General features: G+C 40.1%; 1 long non-coding RNA gene across 1 annotated transcript in view, besides 1 other annotated feature; it reads right to left on the reverse strand.

The window, feature by feature from the left end:
* The window catches only part of LINC01090 (long intergenic non-protein coding RNA 1090), a 252096-nt gene that overhangs the window by 128105 nt on the left and 102257 nt on the right, over positions 1 to 21734 (reverse strand). Inside the window, exon 2 of the long non-coding RNA NR_126396.1 lies at positions 2054 to 2208. This is a non-coding gene — a long non-coding RNA (long intergenic non-protein coding RNA 1090). The remainder of the gene's footprint in view (positions 1 to 2053; positions 2209 to 21734) is intronic.
* Positions 10518 to 11174: an enhancer, noted in NCBI's record as "OCT4-NANOG hESC enhancer chr2:189038945-189039601 (GRCh37/hg19 assembly coordinates)". NCBI's record gives its function as "activates a minimal SCP1, AML or CMV promoter by ChIP-STARR-seq in naive H9 embryonic stem cells {active_cell/tissue: H9 hESC(naive)}" and the evidence as "EXISTENCE:reporter gene assay evidence [ECO:0000049][PMID:30033119]".

Consider the following 21734-nt stretch of genomic DNA (forward strand, 5'->3'; position numbering starts at 1 on the left):
TCCCAAAAGGTACAAACTTTCAGATATAAGACGAATAAATTCTGGGGAAGCTAATGTACAGCATAAGTTGATGTGTTAACTAATGTGGTTGTGGCAATCATTTCACAACGTCTATGTATATCAAATCTTCACATTATATGCCTTGAATATATACAATTTCTATTTTTCAATAAAAGATTTCAAAATAAAAATATGAATTATGCCAATTCTCTATGATTCACTTTTATGTAGGTTTAACGTAGAATATTGTTTCAAAAAATTAAAAGAAAATTGAAATTTTGTTAGTAATTTCTCCTTAATTTTATTAATTTCTTAAGGCTTTTTGGAAATATGTATAGTCTCCCTATTAAAGAAACCTATACCAATAAAAATTTGGATATATAAAAGAGAGAAAATGAATTATATATGAATATATTAGAAAAGACATATTTCTTCAGAATACCTCTCTTTTCAAGGTTTTGAGAGACTAATACATATAATGCCTGAAAACAGAGTAAGGAGAGAAATTATTCCTGAAGCAAACATTTCTGACTTTAAAAATAAGCTTTAAAAGAGTTAGATGTTACAAAGAAAACTAAATACACTAATGTTTTGGTAAGTCATATAGAGGCTGAAAAATGTCTCGATGGGCATTTTTTTTTAGTTCTGTTACAGTAAAGTGTTATCATTTTGTGTTTCTGCTTTTCTCAAAGTTGATTATAGTGTGAATAAATCAATATACAACATTTCTTAACAATGACAATTGATGGAATTGCATATATTATTGCATACCATGAAAGTTCTATAATATTCAAAGTTATTAATGATTACTTAAATTATTTAAATAGTATGGATAATATTTCTAGAAAAATATTGTAAAAATATTGCACCTCTCAAACTATTTTTTCTCTGCTGTGTGACACACAAACTCTCAGGTTCAAGGCCCTCTCATACAAATTTCAGTTTTGCTAAACAAAATACTTTCTTTACTCTCAAAGAATATCTGAATGTCATTGAAGATGACATTATTGAAGAAATAACTCGAATAAAGAAAAAGGAGCATTAACCTTGACTATGCCTTTAGCTCCAGCCACATTTTTAAGAGGAAATTGTTGGGCAGGTGGGGGAGGGCTAATCGCGGAACGAAACTGTAAGCCAGACCGGGTGTGATGAGGGGAGGCGATAGAAGGATTATAGGGTGGGGAAGTGGAGGCTGAGGAAGAATTGGGACCTGGCTCAGCCTGGCGAGGAGTAGCCTGGGGAGGAGGGGAGAACTCAGATGGGTCCGTAGAAAAGGAGGATTCAAAAGACTCAGAGCTTGGGGTGGAGACTGAAGGAACAGACAGGAGAGAAAGAAGAAAGATTTGGGACTAGTCACATTGGGAGCAGAGAATAGGGAGGGACCAATGTGTAAAAGAATGCCTGGACGTCAGGCAACTCAGACCATTTGCCCATTTTACAACAAGAATTATCAGATCTTATAGGATGGAGAAATTGAAAGTGCCGTTTTCTGGCTTTTTGGAACCATTGTCGAGTTTGTACTGGGGTCAAGCGGCATTGCAGAAGAAAATAAGGTGTTTAGGTTTTAGGTCAGGTGTGAGTTGAAGAGGTTTTAAGTTCTTGAGAACACAGGCTAAGGGAGAAGAAGGAGGAATGGAGGGTGGAAGTTTGCCCATAGTGAAGGAGGCAAGCCCAGAGAAAAGAGAGGGTAGAGACACAGAGAAGGGGAGTGGTGAGCAGCCCTGGGCTGCAATGTGGGTGAGCAGCCAAAGCAGGCATCCCCACAATTGAATTGCCACCAAGGGAATGTGGGTGAATGACCAAGGCAGGTGTCCCCACAGTGATCAGACACCAGTGGAGTGTGGGTGAATAATCAGGCAGGCATCCCTGCAGTGATTAAACACCAAGGGAAGACTGTCTTCCTGAGTCCATGACTGGCGCCGGAGTTTTGGGTCCACGGATACAAAGTGTCTCCTTTGTCTCTACTAGAGAGGAAAAAGAACTGGAATTGGAAGGACAGGGAGATTGAAGGGTAGCAAGAGAGGCTGGAGAAGAAAGTGAAAAGACTGCTTACCCGATATGAAATTGGTGAGATGTTCCTTGGGCTGGTGGGTCTGAGGACCCAAGGTCATAGGTGGATTGCCTCACGGAGTGATGACGAGGACAGGGTACCAGTCTCCTGAAGGAGTCTTCCTGTCCAGGTTTTGGCACCAAATGTCATGTGTGTCCCTGTGAGGAGACAACCAAACAGGCTTTGTGTGAGCAATAAAATTTTTTTTTTTTTGGAGACGGAGTCTCACTCTGTCGCCCAGGCTGGAGTGCAGTAGTGAGATCTTGGCTCACTATCAATGAAAATTTTCAATCACCTGGGTGCAGGAGGCTGAGTCTGAAAAGAGTCAGCAAAGGGAGATAGAGGTGGGGCCATTTCATAGGATTTGCGTAGGTTGTGGGAAATTACAGTCAAAGGGGGTTTTTCTCTGGCAGGCAGGGGTGGGGGGAGGGGGGTCACAAGGTGCTCATTGGGGGAGCTTCTGAGCCAGGAGAAGGAATTTCACAAGGTAATGTCATCAGTTAAGGCAGGAACTGGTCATTTTCACTTCTTTTGTGATTCTTCAGTTGCTTCAGGCCATCTAGATGTATACGTACAGGCTTGGGCTCAGAGGCCTGACATCAATAGGCATTTTTTTTTTTTTTTAGTTCTTTTACAATAAAGTGTTATCACTTTACATTTCTGCTTTTCTCAAAGTTAATTATAGTGTGAATAAATCAATATACAACATTTCTTAACAATGACAATTGATGGAATTGCATATATTACTACATACCATGAAAGTTCTACAATATTCAAAGTTATTTAACATTTACATAAAATATTATTTAAATAGTAGAGATAATATTTTTAGAAAAATATTGTAAAAATATTGCATCTCTCAAACTATTTTTTCTCTGCTGTGTGATACACAGACTCTCAGGTTCAAGGCCCTCCCATATGAATTTCAGTTTTGCTAAATATAACAAAACACTTTCTTTACTCACAAAGAATATCTGAGTATCACTGAAGATGACATTATTGAAGAAATAACTTGAATCCACTTAAATATGTTTAAAATACAAATTATTCACTATATTATTTATTTTTTGAGAAAGAAGAAAATCGCTTTCAACACAATTCACAACTGATTGAGCAAAAACGTGTAATACTTAATACAAAGATTAATTGTAATGACACTGTCTAAAGTATTCCATTTTTAAAGAAAAGTGAGTTCTAATAAGACATACCTATTTTTAAAACACATATTAATTATACATATAGAATATATGAAAAACTACATTGATACCAACTCATATTCCTTTCATCACTTTTAATTTTAATTTCAATGACTCAAGTTCTTATATTTTATTATTTCATAGCCTCTCTAGAATTATTTCTATTATTCTCCTTATAAATTTGAAATCCTTACCAACTATGAGAAGTTGATATTTGATTATTACATTCCTGGAGACAAGATAATGAAAACATTCTTCAGCCACATATAAAGGAAATGAAAAGAACTGTAGTTAATTTTACATGAAATTCAAGGGAGAAAGGTAGAAAAACAAATGTTAGTGACTAAAGATATTCAGATACTGAAACATGTGCTATCGTCTATGAAAAAATTGCTTTTGTTTGTTTGTTTTTTTATCATTGAATATTGCATTAGTTTGCTCAGGTTGCCATAATAAAGTACTACAAACTGAGTGGCTGAAAACAAATGTATTGTCTCATAGTTCTGGAGGATAGGAGCCCAAAATCAAGGTACAAGCAGGGCCATGTGCCCTCCAAAGTCTCTAGAGAAGGATCTTTCCTCATCTCCTTCTGCCTCTTGTAACCCCAGGGATTCCTTACATTGTGGCAGCACAATTCCCATATCTGCTCCCATCTTCATATGGCTGCCCTCCCTCTGTGTCTGTGTCTCTGCATCTTCCCATGGGAGTCTCTCTGTTTTCTCTTCCCTTAAGGACACCAGTCATATTAGATTAGGGCTCACCCTAATCAACTGTGACCTTATATTAATTTGAATATATCTACAAAGACCTTATTTTCAAAGAAAGCCACATTCACAGGTACCAGTGGTTAGGATTTTACCATATCCTTTTGGCAGGGGCGCAATTCAATCCATAAAATATATTATTTACTGTTTTGTTCTGTAAGATATGGATTACATTAAAATAAAACTATGTAATGATAAATCATATATATTGTTATAAAAAAACAACTAGTATGACTTTGTCAGCATTATTTTTCAAAGCTTCTAAGGTCAAACAACAAAAGCATTAACAATGGAATTTTTGAGCTTTTTAAATTTAACTCAGATGGGCATGTGCACAAAAAAGAATTAAGCTATTAAAACATGGTAAGAAGTCAACATATTTTAGAGGCCTAAGTCATGTCTTGGTCTTTCTCTGACAGATTCACTCTTTTTCTGTAATGCTAACTGTACTCATTTATGTATACCATAGGAGAGAAAGTAAAGAAAACTGGACTATCTAAGTTAGTGGTTCTCAAACTTTAGAAAATACGTAAATCACATGAAGAGCTTGTTAAAACACAGATACAAGGTTTCTATCTACATATTTTCTGATTCCATAGTCTAGGGTAGAATCTAGGAATTTGTACCAGTCTAGATTTAGTGTAGGACATAGAAACGACTCTAGCCATTTTAAACAGAGAGGCATTTTAATAAAATTATATTTCCAAAATACTTAGAATTAATTAAGGAGTGATAATCAGGGGACTGCCACTGGACATGTGATTTCAAGAATATATTATTGCAGTGGCTGACAATCCAGTGGTTCAAATGCTGCCACTCCACACCACAGGTACCATCATTGAAAGGGGTAATGAACTAGCAGAATGCAGGGCCCAACCACTACCAAAATGTTTGATCTTCACAGCATGTGTGTCAATTGGCATCAACACAAGCCAACAGAAATATTACTTGTCCCTCTGTTATATAGGTACACTTTTTCACTCGCGTCCGTGTGAAGAGACCACCAAACAGCCTTTGTGTGAGCAACAAGGCTGTTTATTTCACCTGGGTGCAGGCGGGCTGAGTCCGAAAAGAGAGTCAGCCAAGGGAGATAAGGGTAGGGCCGTTTTATAAGATTTGGGTAGGTAAAGGAAAATTACAGTCAAAGGGGGGTTGTTCTCTGGCGGGCAGGAGTGGGGGTCACAAGGTGCTCAGTAGGGGAGCTTTTGAGCCAGGATGAGCCAGGAGAAGGAATTTCACAAGACAATGTCATCAGTTAAGGTAAGAACAGGCCCTTTTCACTTGTTTTGTGGTGGAATGTCATCAGTTAAGGCAGGAACCGGCCATCTGGATGTGTACGTGCAGGTCACAGGGGATATGATGGCTTAGGTTGGGCTCAGAGGCCTGACATTCCTGTCTTCTTATATTAATAAGAAAAATAAAATGAAAAAGTGGTAAAGTGTTGGGACGGTGAAAATGTTTGGGGGTGGTATGGAGAGATAATGGGCGATGTTTCTCAGGGCTGCTTTGAGCAGGATTAGGGGTGGCATGGGAACCTAGAGTGGGAGAGATTAAGCTGAAGGAAGATTTTGTGGTAAGGGGTGATATTGTGGGGTTGTTAGAAGAAACATCTGTCATTTAGAATTATTGATGATGGCCTGGATACAGTTTTGTATGAATTGAAAAACTAAACAGAATAAGAGAAGGAGAAAAACAGGTATTAAATGTGTAAGAATTGGGAGGACCCAGGACATCTAATTAGAGAGTGCCTAAGGAGATTCAGCATAGTCCTGCCAGCAAAGATTATTTATTTACTTTAAGAGTTAAGAGTGGCAGTTTGGGGATAGCACCAGGAGATATCAGCTGTGCTGGCTTGGAGAAACAGTGTAAACTGGCAGTGTAAACAAGAGCAGGGCATGTATGAGTAGTTGAGAACGGTGAATAGGAGTATGACTAGACAGAAGATAGTAGGGATGACAAGTTTTTTGGGGCACAGTCCAAGTTAGTCTGGTGTCTGGAATGAGACTGGGGCCTAATAAAAAGGAGTGTCCATACAGGAGCTCAAATGGGCTGTACCCTGTAGCATTCCGAGGACAGGCCTGAATTCTGAGAAGGGCAAGTGGTAAAAGTATTGTACAGTCCTTTTTAAGTTGGTGGCTGAGCTTGGTGAGGTGTGTTTTTAAAAGACCAGTAGTCCATTCTACCTTTCCTGAAGACTGAGGACCGTAAGGGATATAAAGGTTTCACTGAATACCAAGAGCCTGAAAAAATGCTTGGCTGATTTGACTAATAAAGTCCAGTCTGCTATCGGACTGTATAGAGGTGGGAAGTCCAAACTAAGGAATTATGTCTGACAGAAGGGAAGAAATGACCGCGGTGGCCTTCTCAGACCCTGTGGGGAAGGCCTCTACCCATCCAGTGAAAGTGTCTACCCAGACTAAGAAGTATTTTAGTTTTCTGACTCGGGGCATGTGAGTAAAGTCAATTTGCCAGTCCTGGGCAGGGGCAAATCCCTGAGCTTGATGTGTAGGAAAGGGAGGAGGCCCGAACAATCCCTGAGGGGTAGTAGAATAGCAGATGGAACACTAAGAAGTGGTTTCCTTAAGGATAGATTTCCATAATGGAAAGGAAATGAGAGGTTCTAAGAGAGGGGCTAGTGGCTTGTAACCTACATGGAAGAGGTTATGATATGACAACAGAATACAATGGGCCTCTAAGGCTAGGAGATACTTTCCTTGGTCTAAGAACCATTTGCCTTGTGTGGGAAGAGATTGATAGGTGGAAGTTTCAGCGGGGGAGTAGGTGGGAGTGACTGATATGAAGGAGAAAAACTGGCGGTGAGGGACAGAAGTTGGAATGCTAGCTTCTTGTCTAGCCACCTTATCAGCGTAAGTGTTGCCTAGAGCAATGGAATCTGATGCCTTTCGATGGCCCTTGTGGTGAATGACTCCAGCTTCCTCTGGAAGTAAAGCAGCTTTGAGAAGTATTTTCATTAAAGAGGGATTAATGATAGAGGACCCTTGTGTAGTGAGGAAACCTCTTGCATGGTGGTGCAGGATATGAAAGGCATATTTAGAGTCAGTATAAATATTGACGCATAGTCCTTTTGCAAGAGTGAGGGCTTGAGTTAAGGCAACTAGTTCGGCTTGCTGAGAGGTAGTGGAGGGGGGCAGAGCAGTAGCCTCAATGATAGATGTGGAAGATACTATAGCATAGCCTGCCTTTGCTGGTGAGTGGCGGTTAGGCCTGGTGGAACTGCCATCAATAAACCAAATGTGATAAGGGTGAGGAACACGAAAGAAGGAAATATGGGGAAATGGGGTGAATGTCAGGTGGATCAGAGAGATACAGTCATGAGGGTCAGGTGTGGTATCTAGAATAACGTGGGAGGCCGGATTGAAGTCCGTGCCAGGAAAAAATGGTAATTGTGGGAGACTCAACAAAGAGTGAGTATAGCTGAAGCAGCTGGGGATCAGAAAGTATATGCGTCAGGTATGAGGAAAATAGATTTTCAAAGTTATGAGAACTGTAGAGAGTGAGTGGAGCATACTTTGTGATTTTTAGGGCCTTTAAAAGTATTAAAGCAGCGGCAGCTGCTGCATGCAGACATAAGGGCTAGGCTAAAACAGTAAGGTCCAGTTGTTTGGACAGAAAGGCTACAGGGCATGGTCCCAGCTCTTGTGTAAGAATTCTGACCTTACTAACCATGCCTAGGAAGGAAAGGAGTTGTTGTTTTGTAGAAGGGATTGGGGTTTGGGAGATTAGCTGGACACGATCAGCAGGGAGAGCACATGTGTTTTTATGAGAATTATGCCGAGATAGGTAACAGATGACGAAGAAATTTGGGCTTGATTGAAGTAATGGGGGCCGTCTGTAAAGCCTTGGGCAGTACAGCCCAGGTAATTTGCTGAGCCTGATGGGTGTCAGGGTCAGTCCAAGTGAAAGCGAAGAGAGGCTGGGATGAAGGGTGCAAGGGAATAGTAAAGAAAGCATGTTTGAGATCTAGAACAGAATAATGGGTTGTGGAAGGAGGTATTGAGGATAGGAGAGTATATGGGTTTGGCACCATGGGGTGGATAGGCAAAACAATTTGGTTGATAAGGCGCAGATCCTGAACTAACCTGTAAGCCTCGTCTGGTTTTAGGACAGGTAAAATGGGGGAATTGTAAGGGGAGTTGACAGGCTTTAAAAGGCCATGCTGTAGCAGGTGAGTGATAATAGGCTTTAATCCTTTTAAAGCATGCCGTGGGATGGGATATTGGCATTGAGCGGGGTAAGAGTGATTAGGTTTTAATGGGATGGTAAGGGGTGCATGATCGGTTGCTAAGGAGGGAGTAGAGGTGTCTTATACTTGTGGGTTAAGGTGGGGAGATACAAAGGGAGGATGTGAAGGAGGCTTTGAACTGGGGGAAAAGGCGGCAATGAGGTGTTGCTGTAGCCCAGGAATAGTCAGGGAAACAGATAATTTAGTTAAAGTGTCTCGGTCTAATAAGGGAACTGGGCAGCTGGGGATAACTAAAAAAGAGTGCTTAAAAGAGTATTGTCTAAGTTGGCTCCAGAGTTGGGGAGTTTTAAGAGGTTTAGAAGCCTGGCCGTCAATACCCACAACAGTTATGAAGGTAAGGGAAACAGGCCCTTGAAAAGAAGGTAATGTGGAGTGGGTAGCCTCTGTATTGATTAAGAAGGGGACAGACTTACCTTCCACTGTAAGAGTTACCCGAAGCTCGGCATCCGTGATGGTCTAAGGGGCTTCCGAGGCGATCGGGCAGTGTCAGTCTTCAGCTGCTAAGCCGAGAAGATCTGGGAAGGAGTCAGAGAGCCTTGGGCCAGAGTTCCAGAGGCTCTGGGAATGACTGCCAGGTGAGTTGAACAGTCTGATTTTCAGTGGGGTCCCGCACAGATGGGACGTGGCTTAAGAGGAATTCTGGGCTGTGGGCATTCCTTGGCCTGGTAGCCAGATTTCTGGCACTTGTAGCAAGCTCCTGGGGGAGGCGGGCCTGGAGGAACACTTGGCCACTGAGGTTTAGGCGTTTGGAAGTTCTTGTGTGTGGAGATGTGGCTGGGGTTTGTCTCACAGTGGAGGCAAAGAATTGCAACTCAGAAATATGTTGCTACTTGGCTGCCTCTACTCTATTATTGCACACCTTGAAGGCAAGGTTAATTAAGTCCTGTTGTGGGGTTTGAGGGCCAGAATTTAATTTTTGGAGTTTTATTTAATGTCGGGAGCAGATTTGGTAATAAAATGTATATTGAGAATAAGACGGCCTTTTGACCTTTTAGGGTCTAGGGCTATAAAGCATCTCAGGGTTGCTGCCAAACGAGCCATGAACTGGGCTGGGTTTTTATATTTGATGAAAAAGAGCCAAAACACTATCTGATTTGGGATAAAGAAAAAGGAGCATTAATCTTGACTATGCCTTTAGGTCCAGCCACCTTTTTAAGAGGAAATTGCTGGGCAGGTCGGGGAGGGCTAGTCACAGAATGAAACTGTAAGCCGGACCAGCTGTGAGGAGGGGAGGTGATAAAAGGATTATAGGGTGGAGGAGCAGAGGCTGAGGAAGAATTGGGACCTAGCTCGCCCTGGGGAGGAGGGGAGAGGTCAGATGGGTCTGTAGAAAATGAAGATTAGAAAGACTCAGTGACGCTTGGGGTTGGGACTGAGGGGACCGGTGGGAGGGAAAGAAGGAAGATTTGGCATGAGTTGCACTGGGCACAGAGACTAGGGTGGGACCGATGTGTAAAAGAATGCCTGGATGTCAGGCACCTCAGACCATTTGCCCATTTTACAACAAGAATTATTTAGATCTTGTAAGATGGAAAAATTGAAAGTGCCATTTTCTGGCTATTTGGAACAACTCTCGAGTTTGTATTGGGGTCAAGCGGCATTGCAGAAGAAAATAAGGCATTTAGGTTTTAGGTCAGGTGTGAGCTGAAGAGGTTTTGGGTTTTTAAGAACACAGGCTAAGGGGGAATGGAGGGCGGAAGCTTGCCCATAGTGAAGGAGGCAAGCCCAGAGAAAAGAGAGAGTAGAGACACGGAGATAAGGGGTGGGGGCTTCTTGCCCCCCAGAAAAGCAGAGAAGGGGTAGAGACACAGAGAGAAGGGTTGGGGGGTTCATGCCCCTCAGAAAAGCGGTACTTGCCGCTAAGGGTGAAGGACCAAGGCAGGCATCCCCACATGGTCAGACACCTCTGAAACGTGGGTGAATAATCAGGCAGGCGTCCCTGCGTGATTAAACACCAAGGGAAGACTGTCTTCCCAAGTCCGTGACCAGCGCCGGAGTTTTGGGTCCACAGATAAAACACGTCTCCTTCATCTCTACCAGAAAAGGAAAGGAACTGAAATTAAGAGAAGGGAGAGATTGAAGTGTGGCGCCAAAATTGAAAGGAGAAAGAGGTTGAGGGATCGTGAGAGAGGTTGGAGAAGAGAGTAAAAAGAGGCCGCTTACTGGATTTAAAATTGGTGAGATGTTCCTTGGGCTGGTTGGTCTAAGGACCAGAGATCGTAGGTGGATCTTTCTCACGGAACAAAGAGCAGGAGGACAGGGGATTGATCTCCCAAGGGAGGTCCCCCGATCCGAGTCACGGCACCAAATTTCACTCGCGTCCGTGTGAAGAGACCACCAAACAGGCTTTGTGTGAGCAACAAGGCTGTTTATTTCACCTGGGTGCAGGCGGGATGACTCCGAAAAGAGAATCAGCCAAGGGAGATAAGGGTAGGGCTGTTTTATAAAATTTGGGTAGATAAAGGAAAATTACAGTCAAAGGGGGGTTGTTCTCTGGTGGGCAGGAGTGGGGGTCACAAGGTGCTCAGTAGGGGAGCTTTTGAGCCAGGATGAACCAGGAAAAGGAATTTCACAAGACAATGCCATCAGTTAAGGCAGGCCATTTTCACTTCTTTTGTGGTGGAATGTCATCAGTTAAGGAAGGAACCGGCCATCTGGATGTGTATGTGCAGGTCACAGGGGATATGATGGCTTAGCTTGGGCTCAGAGGACTGACACACTTTATTAGCAGAACCCAAATCATATTCAGGCCTTAGACCTTAGCTACAAGGGAGAGAGGGAGATGGAGTTAGACTTAGAGCCATAAGATGTCACAGAAAAGGAGAGGGATCACCTAGGTTCTGCACAGCACTTTAAGTGGTTCTAAAATAGCTGACCCTGAAGACCACACTTTGAAAAGATCTCAATGTTCACTCATTTAAAATAAAGCTAAACCAAAGTTTGAGTTTACTAGTAACAAATGTTTCTTTTTTATGTTAGAATTAATAAAGTAACATCTATGGCTGGGTGCAGTGGTTCACGCATATAATCTCAGCACTTTGGGAGGCTGACACAGGTGGATCACTTGAGGTCAGCAGTTCGAAACCAGCCTGGTCAGCATGGTGAAACCCTGTCTCTACTAAAAATACAAAAATTAGCCAGGCATGGTGGGGCGCACCTGTAATCCCAGCTACTTGGGAGGCTGAGGCAAGAGATTCGCTTGAACCTGTGAGGTGGAGGTTGCAGTGAGCCGATATCACACCAGTGCACTCCAGCCTGGGTGACAGAGTGAGACTCTGTCTCAAAAAAAAAGAAAGTAACATCTAAGCTGAGTCTAAATTTCAAAAAATTTAAATGAAAAAAGAGACGTTGTAACCAGAAGCACTATCATGAATAAATAGTTTGGGCCCACTATAAGAATATATGCTATTGTTATTCAATAGAAGTAGTTCTAAATGATACTTGGTGCCCATATTGTAAAGAACTTTGCATTTCCAGGCTAAAGAATTTAAATTTCATACCTTTATCTATTGGGGTTGTGCTAGCTGGTAAAACAAATAGAATCGAAATATACAACAGCTTGAACAAAATAGAAGTTTATTTCTCATTCTCATAACCATCTAAGATGGAAGTCGCTGGTTGGCAGGCAGCTCTCCTCCACATAGTGACTCAGAGACCGTCGCCTCTTATTTTGTAGTGCAATTGTCCTCTAGGGCCCCACCCTTATCCATATACTACCAACCGAGGGGAAAAACACTGTGGAGATTGCACCATTCTTAAAAATCATGGCTCAGAAATGGCACATATAACTCCTTCACATTCTATTGGCTAGAACTCAGTCACATGACTTTATATAAATACAAGGGATGATGGGAAATATAGTTTAGCTGTGCACTCTGGAAAAAATATTGTCGTTAAAAATCTGCTACAATTCTGTAGGCATACATCCTCTCATGGGTTCTCCAAGAAACATTAGTATTACGAGTTACTCTACAATAATTAAAACAAAACAAAACAACAACCAGTACCCAGTGAATAAAAGGCTCTGAGAAATTTTCTAGTAAAGAAACCTTGTAATTGTATTTATACAAAGATTTTATACTTGTTTAACTATTGAAACCCATTTTGAAAGAATGCTTCAGAAAATAATATTGTAAGAGCAATTAGTGATAATTTCTCAATAGGAGAGTATTGCTGTATGATCAGAGCTATTCCTTTGAATTATTAAGCTGGATAGTATTTCCGGGGCACATAGAAGAGAATTAGTTTGAGGAAAGCATACCATGAGAGATGACATTTAATCATAAGTGATTACATAATAAAAGTAAAACATTTTATAGCCTGATTTAGGCCGATGACAGAATGGAAATAAGAGAATTTATAAAAAACATTGATACTGAAATAAACAGACCTGACAACTAATTAGATGTAAGGCTACAGAAAAGAGTCACATATGTGTCTACTTTAATGTGAACTAAGGATGAGGGAGAAATTATAGACGTCTCCAAGGTTTTATTTTCAAGGAACTAGAAACATGGTGATCAAAAAGAGTTGTTGTGGCAATTATTAACAGAAATAAATCAGAGAAATATAGGTAAGAGTTGGTTTTGTTATGAGGCGTTAAAACCCCTTAAATTAGTGTAAATCTTGGAAATTTGAAGTTGCCAAAGATAAAGTATGCAACAAGAAATAAAGAGGGTTAAAGCCTAGTTATTGAGGGTTACTGCATTTAGATGGGAAGAAAAAAAAGACAAAAAAAAAATAAGGGAGACAATATCTAATACTATGTATCAAAACCAAGGGAGAAAGAATTTGCAACAAGTTAGTGGTCATCTACCACAAATAGCATAGAGAGAGCCAGTATTACTACATCACCAAGGGTGTGATACAAATAAGGTCACATTCCATTTAACACTCAAATTAAATGCTCCAGGCAAAATTAGCAGGACAAGCAATTTTCTTTAGAACTCTTTTTTCCCTTCAAAGACTAAAAGAACCCTGGGTCAATACTCAAACAAAAATTACAGGCCAGCTTTTTAAAATACCAGGTGAAATGAAAATTAGAAATCCATCTCAGTAGCCTGGGCACTCCAGTTTTAGGTAACCTTTCTTTTTTTGCTGAAATAGAATACTGCCACTGAAAACAAACTTTAACCAATATTGCAATGATCACTTTGCTGGTTCAGGTCTCCACGTAGGCCACGGTTTTTCTTTGAGCTAGAAAATGATTTCTTCACACTCTAATGCCAAATTATATTTTTGAAAATACATCGTAATATATCAGCTAAAATTCACACAGAAGCAGACTAAGGAAAAGACTAAAACCTCACACCCTAAAACATGAAAATTAGTAACTCAGAAAAGAAAGGGAAGAATCTGATATAATATTTCTGGGCTGTTAATGCTGAAACTATCATTTTGGAATTAGCGTTCAGACAAGGAGTTGATGTGATAAAATGCTAAGACTTCTCAATAACATCCTTAAATTGGAGAGTGGTGGACTGAAGAATGCATTAATAGTCCATAGCACATAAAGGAAAACAAAACAAAAACACTGAACTTTTGAATCTGAAAGTCCTACTTAGCCAGGACACGATCTCACCAGAAATAGGTCAGTCAGGGATGGCTTGCTCTTTTCCAAGGTTTTATGTGATCTGACGGAATAGGCAAACTTAAGATTCCACATAATTGATTTCACCTTGGTACAGGACTTTTAGTAGGATCTCAGAGCACAGAACAGCTCCTGGATTTTCCAGAAGAGACTCAGTGCTCTTAACTAGAAAAAGTATATAGACATTAACACCTAACCTACTATCTGTATCTCTGAAGGGAAGGTAAAATCCTAAATGAGGCAGATAAACATAAAACAGAATTTAAGCAAGGGTATGGCCTTGAAAGTATCCAAACATGCTAAAGAAAAGGCAGAAAAATACCGCCTGAATTATTGAGGTGTTGAAAGTGTAAAGAAGGAAATGTAATCAGCATGAAACTAGGTTATATGAAGATCCATATAAATGTATATTAATGTTAGTAATGTGGTTAGTAGATTTCTCAACTTTTAGAATTTACCTAAATGCAATTATTGAACAGTTCATTATCTTACAGAACACAGTATAGATGTTACCAATGTGGTATATTGCCCATATTAGCAAGAAGAAAAATGGGAAGAGATGTGGAGGAAGCAGAAGGTCTCTAAAACCTCAAAAACAAGAAATACAAAAACAAAACCAAGATGTAAAGTCAAAAGTTGATGGGAAAAGAAATAGAAGCATGAACATATTATTTAAATTTTCAAATGTAACAAATTGTTAAAAAACTGATATATCTATCAAATTTGAGAGGAAGGAGAGGAGGTAAAGATGTTGTAACTGGATCAAACTTGACATACTTTAGTAGGGAATTACTGTATTGTATATTGTTAATAAATTATGGGAAAGAGGCATAAGAATTCTATTGAGAGCTCTAGCAGGAACTAGGAAAAGAACTGAAATAAAAATTGTTTTAAAGTGATGCCTCTGAAATACAGTGCTGATGTGGGGAAAAAATAAAATGCAAGCCAATTGATTTCTATTTTAACCATTTAATCAGATTTCATCATTTACACATTTTATCATGATAATTTTGAAAGCCAATATATCCACTTGTTGTCCTGGTATTAATTGTCTGCCAAGGAATTTAATGAAGGCAAAAAATTTCAGCAAACTTTTCCCTGAGCAATAGGCACAGTAATAATGCTAATACTAATACTAATATTAAAACAGGAACTCCTTAAGTTCCTCTTTGAATAACAAACAATCTGATAAAAAGGGAGTTTCTGCTCCACTTTTATAGGAAGAGATCTAGGAGACTTGTATAGCTGGGGGTTTTTTTGTTGTTTGTTTTTGGGTTTTTTTGTTTTTGTGTGTGTGTTTTTTTTCTTTTTTTTTGAGACGGAGTCTCGCTCTATTGCCCAGGCTGGAGTACAATGGCGCTATCTTGGTTCACTGCCACCTCTGCCTGCCGGGTTCAAGCAATTCTTCTGTCTCAGCCTCCAGAGTAGCTGGGACTACAGGTGTGCGCCACCATGCCTGGCTAATTTTTTGTATTTATAGTAGAGATGGGATTTCACCATGTTGGCCAGGCTGGTCTCAAACTCTGACCTCATGATCCGCCTGCCTCAGCCTCCCAAAGTGCTGGGGTTACAGGTGTTAGCCACCACGCCCAGCCAGCTGTTTCTTTTAATCAAGTTTTACACACCAGGCACTCTGCTACACAGATCACATTAAAGGAATAAGCATGGGAGAAAATACTAGTGAATTTCACTATTTTGTGGGCACAGATAACTTTTGTGTTTAAATAGAGTGTTGGCACTAGAAGGCAGACTGAAAGAATTTATGGAATAAGTGAAACATAAAAAATTGTTACAATATAGAGTTTGTTTACAAGAATAAGGAAGGAATAAATGTATAATGGAACATGCTTATTCAGCTACTCAGGCATGTCATTGTACCCTCAATCCTACTCTGCTCTTTATTCCTCGAATCTTCCTTTCACACAACCCTTACTCCCAACTTCGTTTGCTTTCATTTACTCATCCTGCATGATTCATTTTAAATGTCACTTCCATTCAGTTTTCTTGAACTAATGAATATGATCTCATTGCATGTGCATATGTGTACTATATGCTTCCTCTCTTAGAGGAATAATCAAACTTGAGATTAATTATTTACTTAATTGTCCGTCTCCTCTAGTTTATTCAAAAATCTTTTAAGGAAGAGCCCATGTCTCCGCTGCTCTCCACTGCATTTCCAGTGCACAGAGAATGTCTGACACAGTCAATACTTATTAGAGAATAATTTTTTTTAATAAATAAATGAGTAAATGAATGTATGACTATATTATTGAGAACTGTGTTTGTTCATCATTGTTTGTTTATCTGTTTGAGGGGAGGGAAGGAAGGCATTGAGGATGGTATTTCAGGGTAATAATTTTTATTTATTATTTTTTAGTGAAACAGAGTCAGCCAAGGGAGAGACTAGAGATGCAACTAATAACTATTTAGTAGAGTAATGCCTTCAAGAAATGCTTCTCAAACCTTAAGTGCATACAAATGGCTTGAATAACCTGTTAAAAACACAGATTGGATTTGGGAGTTCTACATGGTGCATGCGACTCTACATTTTTTAAAAGCTCCCAAGTGATACTGATGCTATGAACCAAATTCTAGGTAACATTGTGTTTGAAACAGTAGGGAAAGGTGAGTCTAATTCCAAACAACAATAAGTGTGTTTGCTCTGGCAAGGAAGAGAATTCCAATTTCCATAGACGGGTATATAGACAGATGAAGACAGAGAAACCTAAAGGCAAAAAAGAAGACAAACAAAAGTACTCTCATTGAAAATCCTCTCTTCCCCCAATAACTAGATGGCATATTACTTAAGTATTAAAAGTTTGAGAGTGGGGCTGGGCGCGGTGGCTCACACCTGTAATCCCAGCACTTTGGGAGGCCAAGGCAAGTGGATCACTTGAGGTCAGGAGTTCGAGACTAGCTTGGCCAACATGGCGAAACCCCATCTCTACCAAAAGTACAAAACATTAGCCAGGTGTTGTGGGCGCCTGTAATCCCAGCTACTTGGGAGGCTGAGGCAGGAGAATCGCTTGAACCTGGGAGGCGGAGGTTGCAGTGAGCCGAGATTGTGCCACCGCAGTCAGCGACAGAGAAAGACTTCGTTTCAAAAGAAAAAAAAAATGAAAGAATGACCTGGGCTTGTACAAATAGGAAAATGTTTTCAATCAGATGATGTGGGAAAGGTCATAGGAGAGCAGTTCTTAACTTTTACCACTGAAATTACCAGGGGAGTTTTTAAAAGTTCAATGCTCAGACACACCAGGCCAATTAACCAGAATTCCTTCGGGTCTTTCAGCATCAATATATTTTAGAGCTTCTTAGGTGAATCCACTGGACATCCAAGGATGAGAACTGTACCCATATCAGTTTGACAGCAGCTAACAATTTGAAGCCAGTGGGAGCTGTAGTTCTCCTTTCCTAGAACCTCACTACTGGGAGGTATGCTACCATCACAGTAAGACTCAGGCTGAATTATTGCATGTTTAGAAGGTTCAAAAATAGTTAAAGTCATGTTAATGTAAACTAGATGAAGTCTTAGCTGTTTAGCCTTTTAGGCAGTCCAACTGTTCTTGGTAGGCCAACTCAAGTTCTTGACTTTACCACACAGAAGAATTTGAGAGCAAGCCCAAAGTAAGAGTAGGCAAGGTTTATTGCAAAGTGAAAGTACACTCTGAGAGGCAGAGTGGGCTGCTCAGAGGGAGAGACAGCAGCTAGTTCCTTAAAAGGAATTCCTTTTATGGCCATTGTTTTATGGGAGTTGTTTATACATATTCATTCATAAAATACTAGTGAAGTCAATTTATGCAAAGGTGGACCTGTGGTTGGTGGAGGGGCTTAGCATCTGCATATCCCAACACACATCTCGTGCATCATTAGCTTATAAAATCTCACCTAGGGGTGTGTTTTCTACTATCAAAATGAGGAAAAGTTCACTGTAAGCTAAACCTTGAGCCTAGCTGCACGTGTGGATAAAGTCCTAGCTTCAGGCAGGAACCTGTGGTTTCTTGGGCTTTGGGTGTTGATTGGCTGGAGAATGGGGAAGCTACATCAGGAATAAGAGGCTTTTGTTCTCTTTCCGTGGCTGTACTAGGTATCAGGAACTTGTAACCATCTGGCGGTCCCGTAGGATTGCTTATCTTGCAGAAAAGTTGCTGAAGCAGGTGGATACAAGAGAAAGGAGCCTGCTGTGAAAGGGGCTTCACAAGGGGACAAGTTAGGATGATCTAACTTTATAGTTGGATCAAGAGACAAAATCTTCTAGCAAGTGAAAGGGACAAGTCTTAATGGGTCACTGGAACTAGTGTGCTTGCTGAGCTCCTCAGATTTTTAGATCTCATTAATGATAACTGTACTTTTTGTTTTTAACCAATCATGTATCTTGTACAACTCTCATTTAGATAATGAAAATTTATTTTTACCATTCCTTATGTTAATTAACAAATTCTCTAGTGTAGATTAAGATAACACTAATTGAATGGCTTGCTATACTTGTGGCTGAAGTGTGGGCCTTTGATTAAAGTCTTTCAAATGCTAATTAAACACCCTTGAATTGTAAACAACTCATTCTGTTACTTAAAATTTAAACACTTCCTAAAGTGTTGATTGAAGTCAGTCGCAGCAAATATCATTGTTGAGTGCTCAATGATTGAGGGCCAGAGTTGCATGACTTAGGACAGTATCTTACAAAGCAGAATCAGATTGAATCCCACACAATTCCAAATGATCTACCTGATAGACAATTCTAGTAAGCGATTATCTTATTTATACATATCTGAACCCAGGCTTCATCCCTGCCTTATATAAAAATATAAAGTGTTTCTGCATTGTGTTTGGGAACTGTTAATTTTTCAATATTGCAAGTGACATGTGAGTCAAGGGACAATACTTTGTATTGTTCAAGTATTTATCAAGAATTGCGTGTAATTTCAGAAAACAATGTCACCAATAGCAATGTTATTTGTACTAATTGAATCATTAATACAGCATCCCTGTATCAGTCTGCATTTGAGACTGTTGCCATCATGGTAATATTAAACATCGGTGAAACATTTAGCTATTTCATTATGCTTTCTAGCACAAGTGGTACATGACCTTTTTTCAAAAACAATGCAATTAGCTGTATTATAACTTTTCTTTTATCTCTTTTTTATGTCACAGCTATGTTTCATGCTATATTGCAGTAATTCAATTTAAAAAATTATTTGTATAAGTAGGTCATTTATGAATTCTATTTCATAATAGTAAAGGGAGAGTTAAAAATATTGTGCTGTTGGTCCATACTGAGCTATTTTAAGGTAAATATAGATAATATAAAAGTTTTAAACAAAGCCACTGAATAGAGGTGTGCACACTGTGAAAACTCAATAAAAAAAAATAGCATCCTTTCAAAGTGGAACTAATTACATTGTTTTGTGATGTTTTTCATCAATGCTCATTACTTGCTCCATAAGCATATGACAGAAAAATAAAAGATGAGAATCATTTTGAATAAGTTCCCAAACTCATCTAACTAAAGTTTAAGTAGTATGTTAGAAATAATAGATGTGTAGGTAAGTATGGAGAGAATGAATTTAAAAATTTGTCCTCTGAGAAAGCAACACCAAAGTTAAACAGGCAAGAAAGATTTCATTGAATGCTATTGCAATAAAATAGAGAGAGACCAGAATACAGTACAGAAGACTTCTCCCCACCTTATCCACAGAGGATAGGTTCCAAGACCCACAGTGGATGCTGAAACCTCAGACAGGATCAAGCCCTTTAGGTAAATACAGTCATGTATTGCTTAATGAGGAGGATATACTCTGAGAAATGTGTCAATAGGCAATTTTGTTGTAGGAACATCATAGAGAGTACTTACACAAACCTAGATGGAATAGCCAACTACCATTCAGGCTATATGGTATAGTCTATTGCTTCTAGGCTACAAATCTATATAACATGTTAATACTGTAGGCAACTATAACACAATGGTATCTGTGTACCTAAACATAGTAAAGGTAATGTGTTGCACTACAACATTAGGCAATAGAAATTTTTCAGCTCCATAATAATTTTTTTTTTAAGAGACAGGTCTTACTCTGTCACTCAGGCTAAAGTGCAGTGGGGTGATCATAGCTCACTGTGACCTGGAACTCCTAGGCTCAAACTATCCTCCCACCTTACCATCCCAAATAGCTGGGGCCACAGGCATGCGCTACCATGCCCAGCTAATTTTTAATTTTTTTTTTTTTTGGTAGAAACAGGGTCTCACTATGTTTCCCAGGCTGGTCTTAAACTGCTGGCCTCAAGCGACCTTCCCACCTTGGTCTCCAAAGTGTTGGGATTACAGGTGTGAGCTACCTCACCAGGCCCCCATTATAATCTTATGGGACCACCATTGTGCATGTGCATTGTGCATTTTCATTAACTAAAACTTCATTATGTGGTACATGACTACTGTTTTCCCCTATACATACATACCAATGATAAAGTTTAATTTATAAATTGGGCACTGTAAGAGATCAACATCAATAACTAATAATTATACAACAATTATAACAATATGCCAGCATCACTACTCTTGTGCTTTGGGGCCATTATTAAGTAAAATAGGGTTATTTCAACACAAGCACTGGGGTACCTTGACAGTTGATCAGATAACTGAGATGGTTTCTAGGGGACTAATGGGTGAGTAGCACATACAAGGTGCATATACTGGACAAAGGAGTGATTCACATGGTGGGTGGGATGAAGCTGGGTGACACTGTTACAGGTGGGTCTTTGTTCTTAGAGCTCCCAAGATGGTGGTGGGCTGCTCCCAAGATGGCCGTGGCTGCTCCCAAGATGGCAGCAAGCCTTTTCTTCTCTAACCTTGGGTTCTTGGCCTCATAGATTCCAAGGAATGGAACCTTGGGCCATGTGGTGGGTGTTATAGTTCTGTTAGAAGCTGTGGGTCAGGGAAGAGAACCCAGGAACCCAGCGACTAGTGTTCAGCTTGATTAGGATGAACTCAGGCACTTAGCCATGCAGGAACAATGGCGAGCCTCTAGCCCAAACCGGAGCGGCAATGGGCACCTCGCTGCATCAGAAATGCAGCGGACCCCCTGCCAGATCCGGAGGCATGGAAGTTAATGGTGGTCTGGGACGACGGCAATCAGCAGTGGTGGACAGCAAGCGAAAGCTCAGCTTGAGACGGAACAAACACGGACCAGAAGAGCGTGCAGTTGCAAGATTTAATAGAGTGAAAACAGAGCTCCCATACAATGGGAGGGGACCCAAAGGGGGTTGCCCCCTCTGGGCTGGAATGCCTGGGGTTTATATCCCAATCATGGTTCCTCCCCCTGTGCTCTCAGATGATAGATGATTTGACTATTTCTTTAGCTCCTGTTTTTAACTTAATTGGTGTTTTAGTGAGCCCTCTTTATTACCTGCCACAAGCCCTGTGTTGTGTTTAAAGGTGGGTGTGGTCACCTTCCCCAGCTAGGCTTAGGAATTCTTAGTCGGCCTGGGAAACCCAGCTAGTCTTGTCTCTCAACACAAGTTTTATCATACTACCCAGAACACTATGTAATTTAAAACTTACAAATTCTTTATTTCTGGAATTTTCATTTAATATTTTGAACTGCAGTTGACTGTGCGTGGGTAACTGAAACTATGGAAAGTCAAACTAGGGATAAAGGGTACCTATCGTATGAACTCAACTGCATTGAAACTGAGGCCAGGAGAGTTTTTGAAAAGCCAGGGATGAAGATCATAGGCAATTTGTGTTGCCAACTGATCTTACCCAAAAGAAAAGTAAACTTTCTCATATTTTCGTAAAAAGAAGTAATTTTATAACTTTGAGCAAAGCAGTCACCCACCCAAGTTGGGCCACTACCCTCCCATAGAAAGTAGG

This window comes from Homo sapiens, chromosome 2 (genome assembly GCF_000001405.40).
Source record: "Homo sapiens chromosome 2, GRCh38.p14 Primary Assembly".
NCBI lineage: Eukaryota > Metazoa > Chordata > Mammalia > Primates > Hominidae > Homo > Homo sapiens.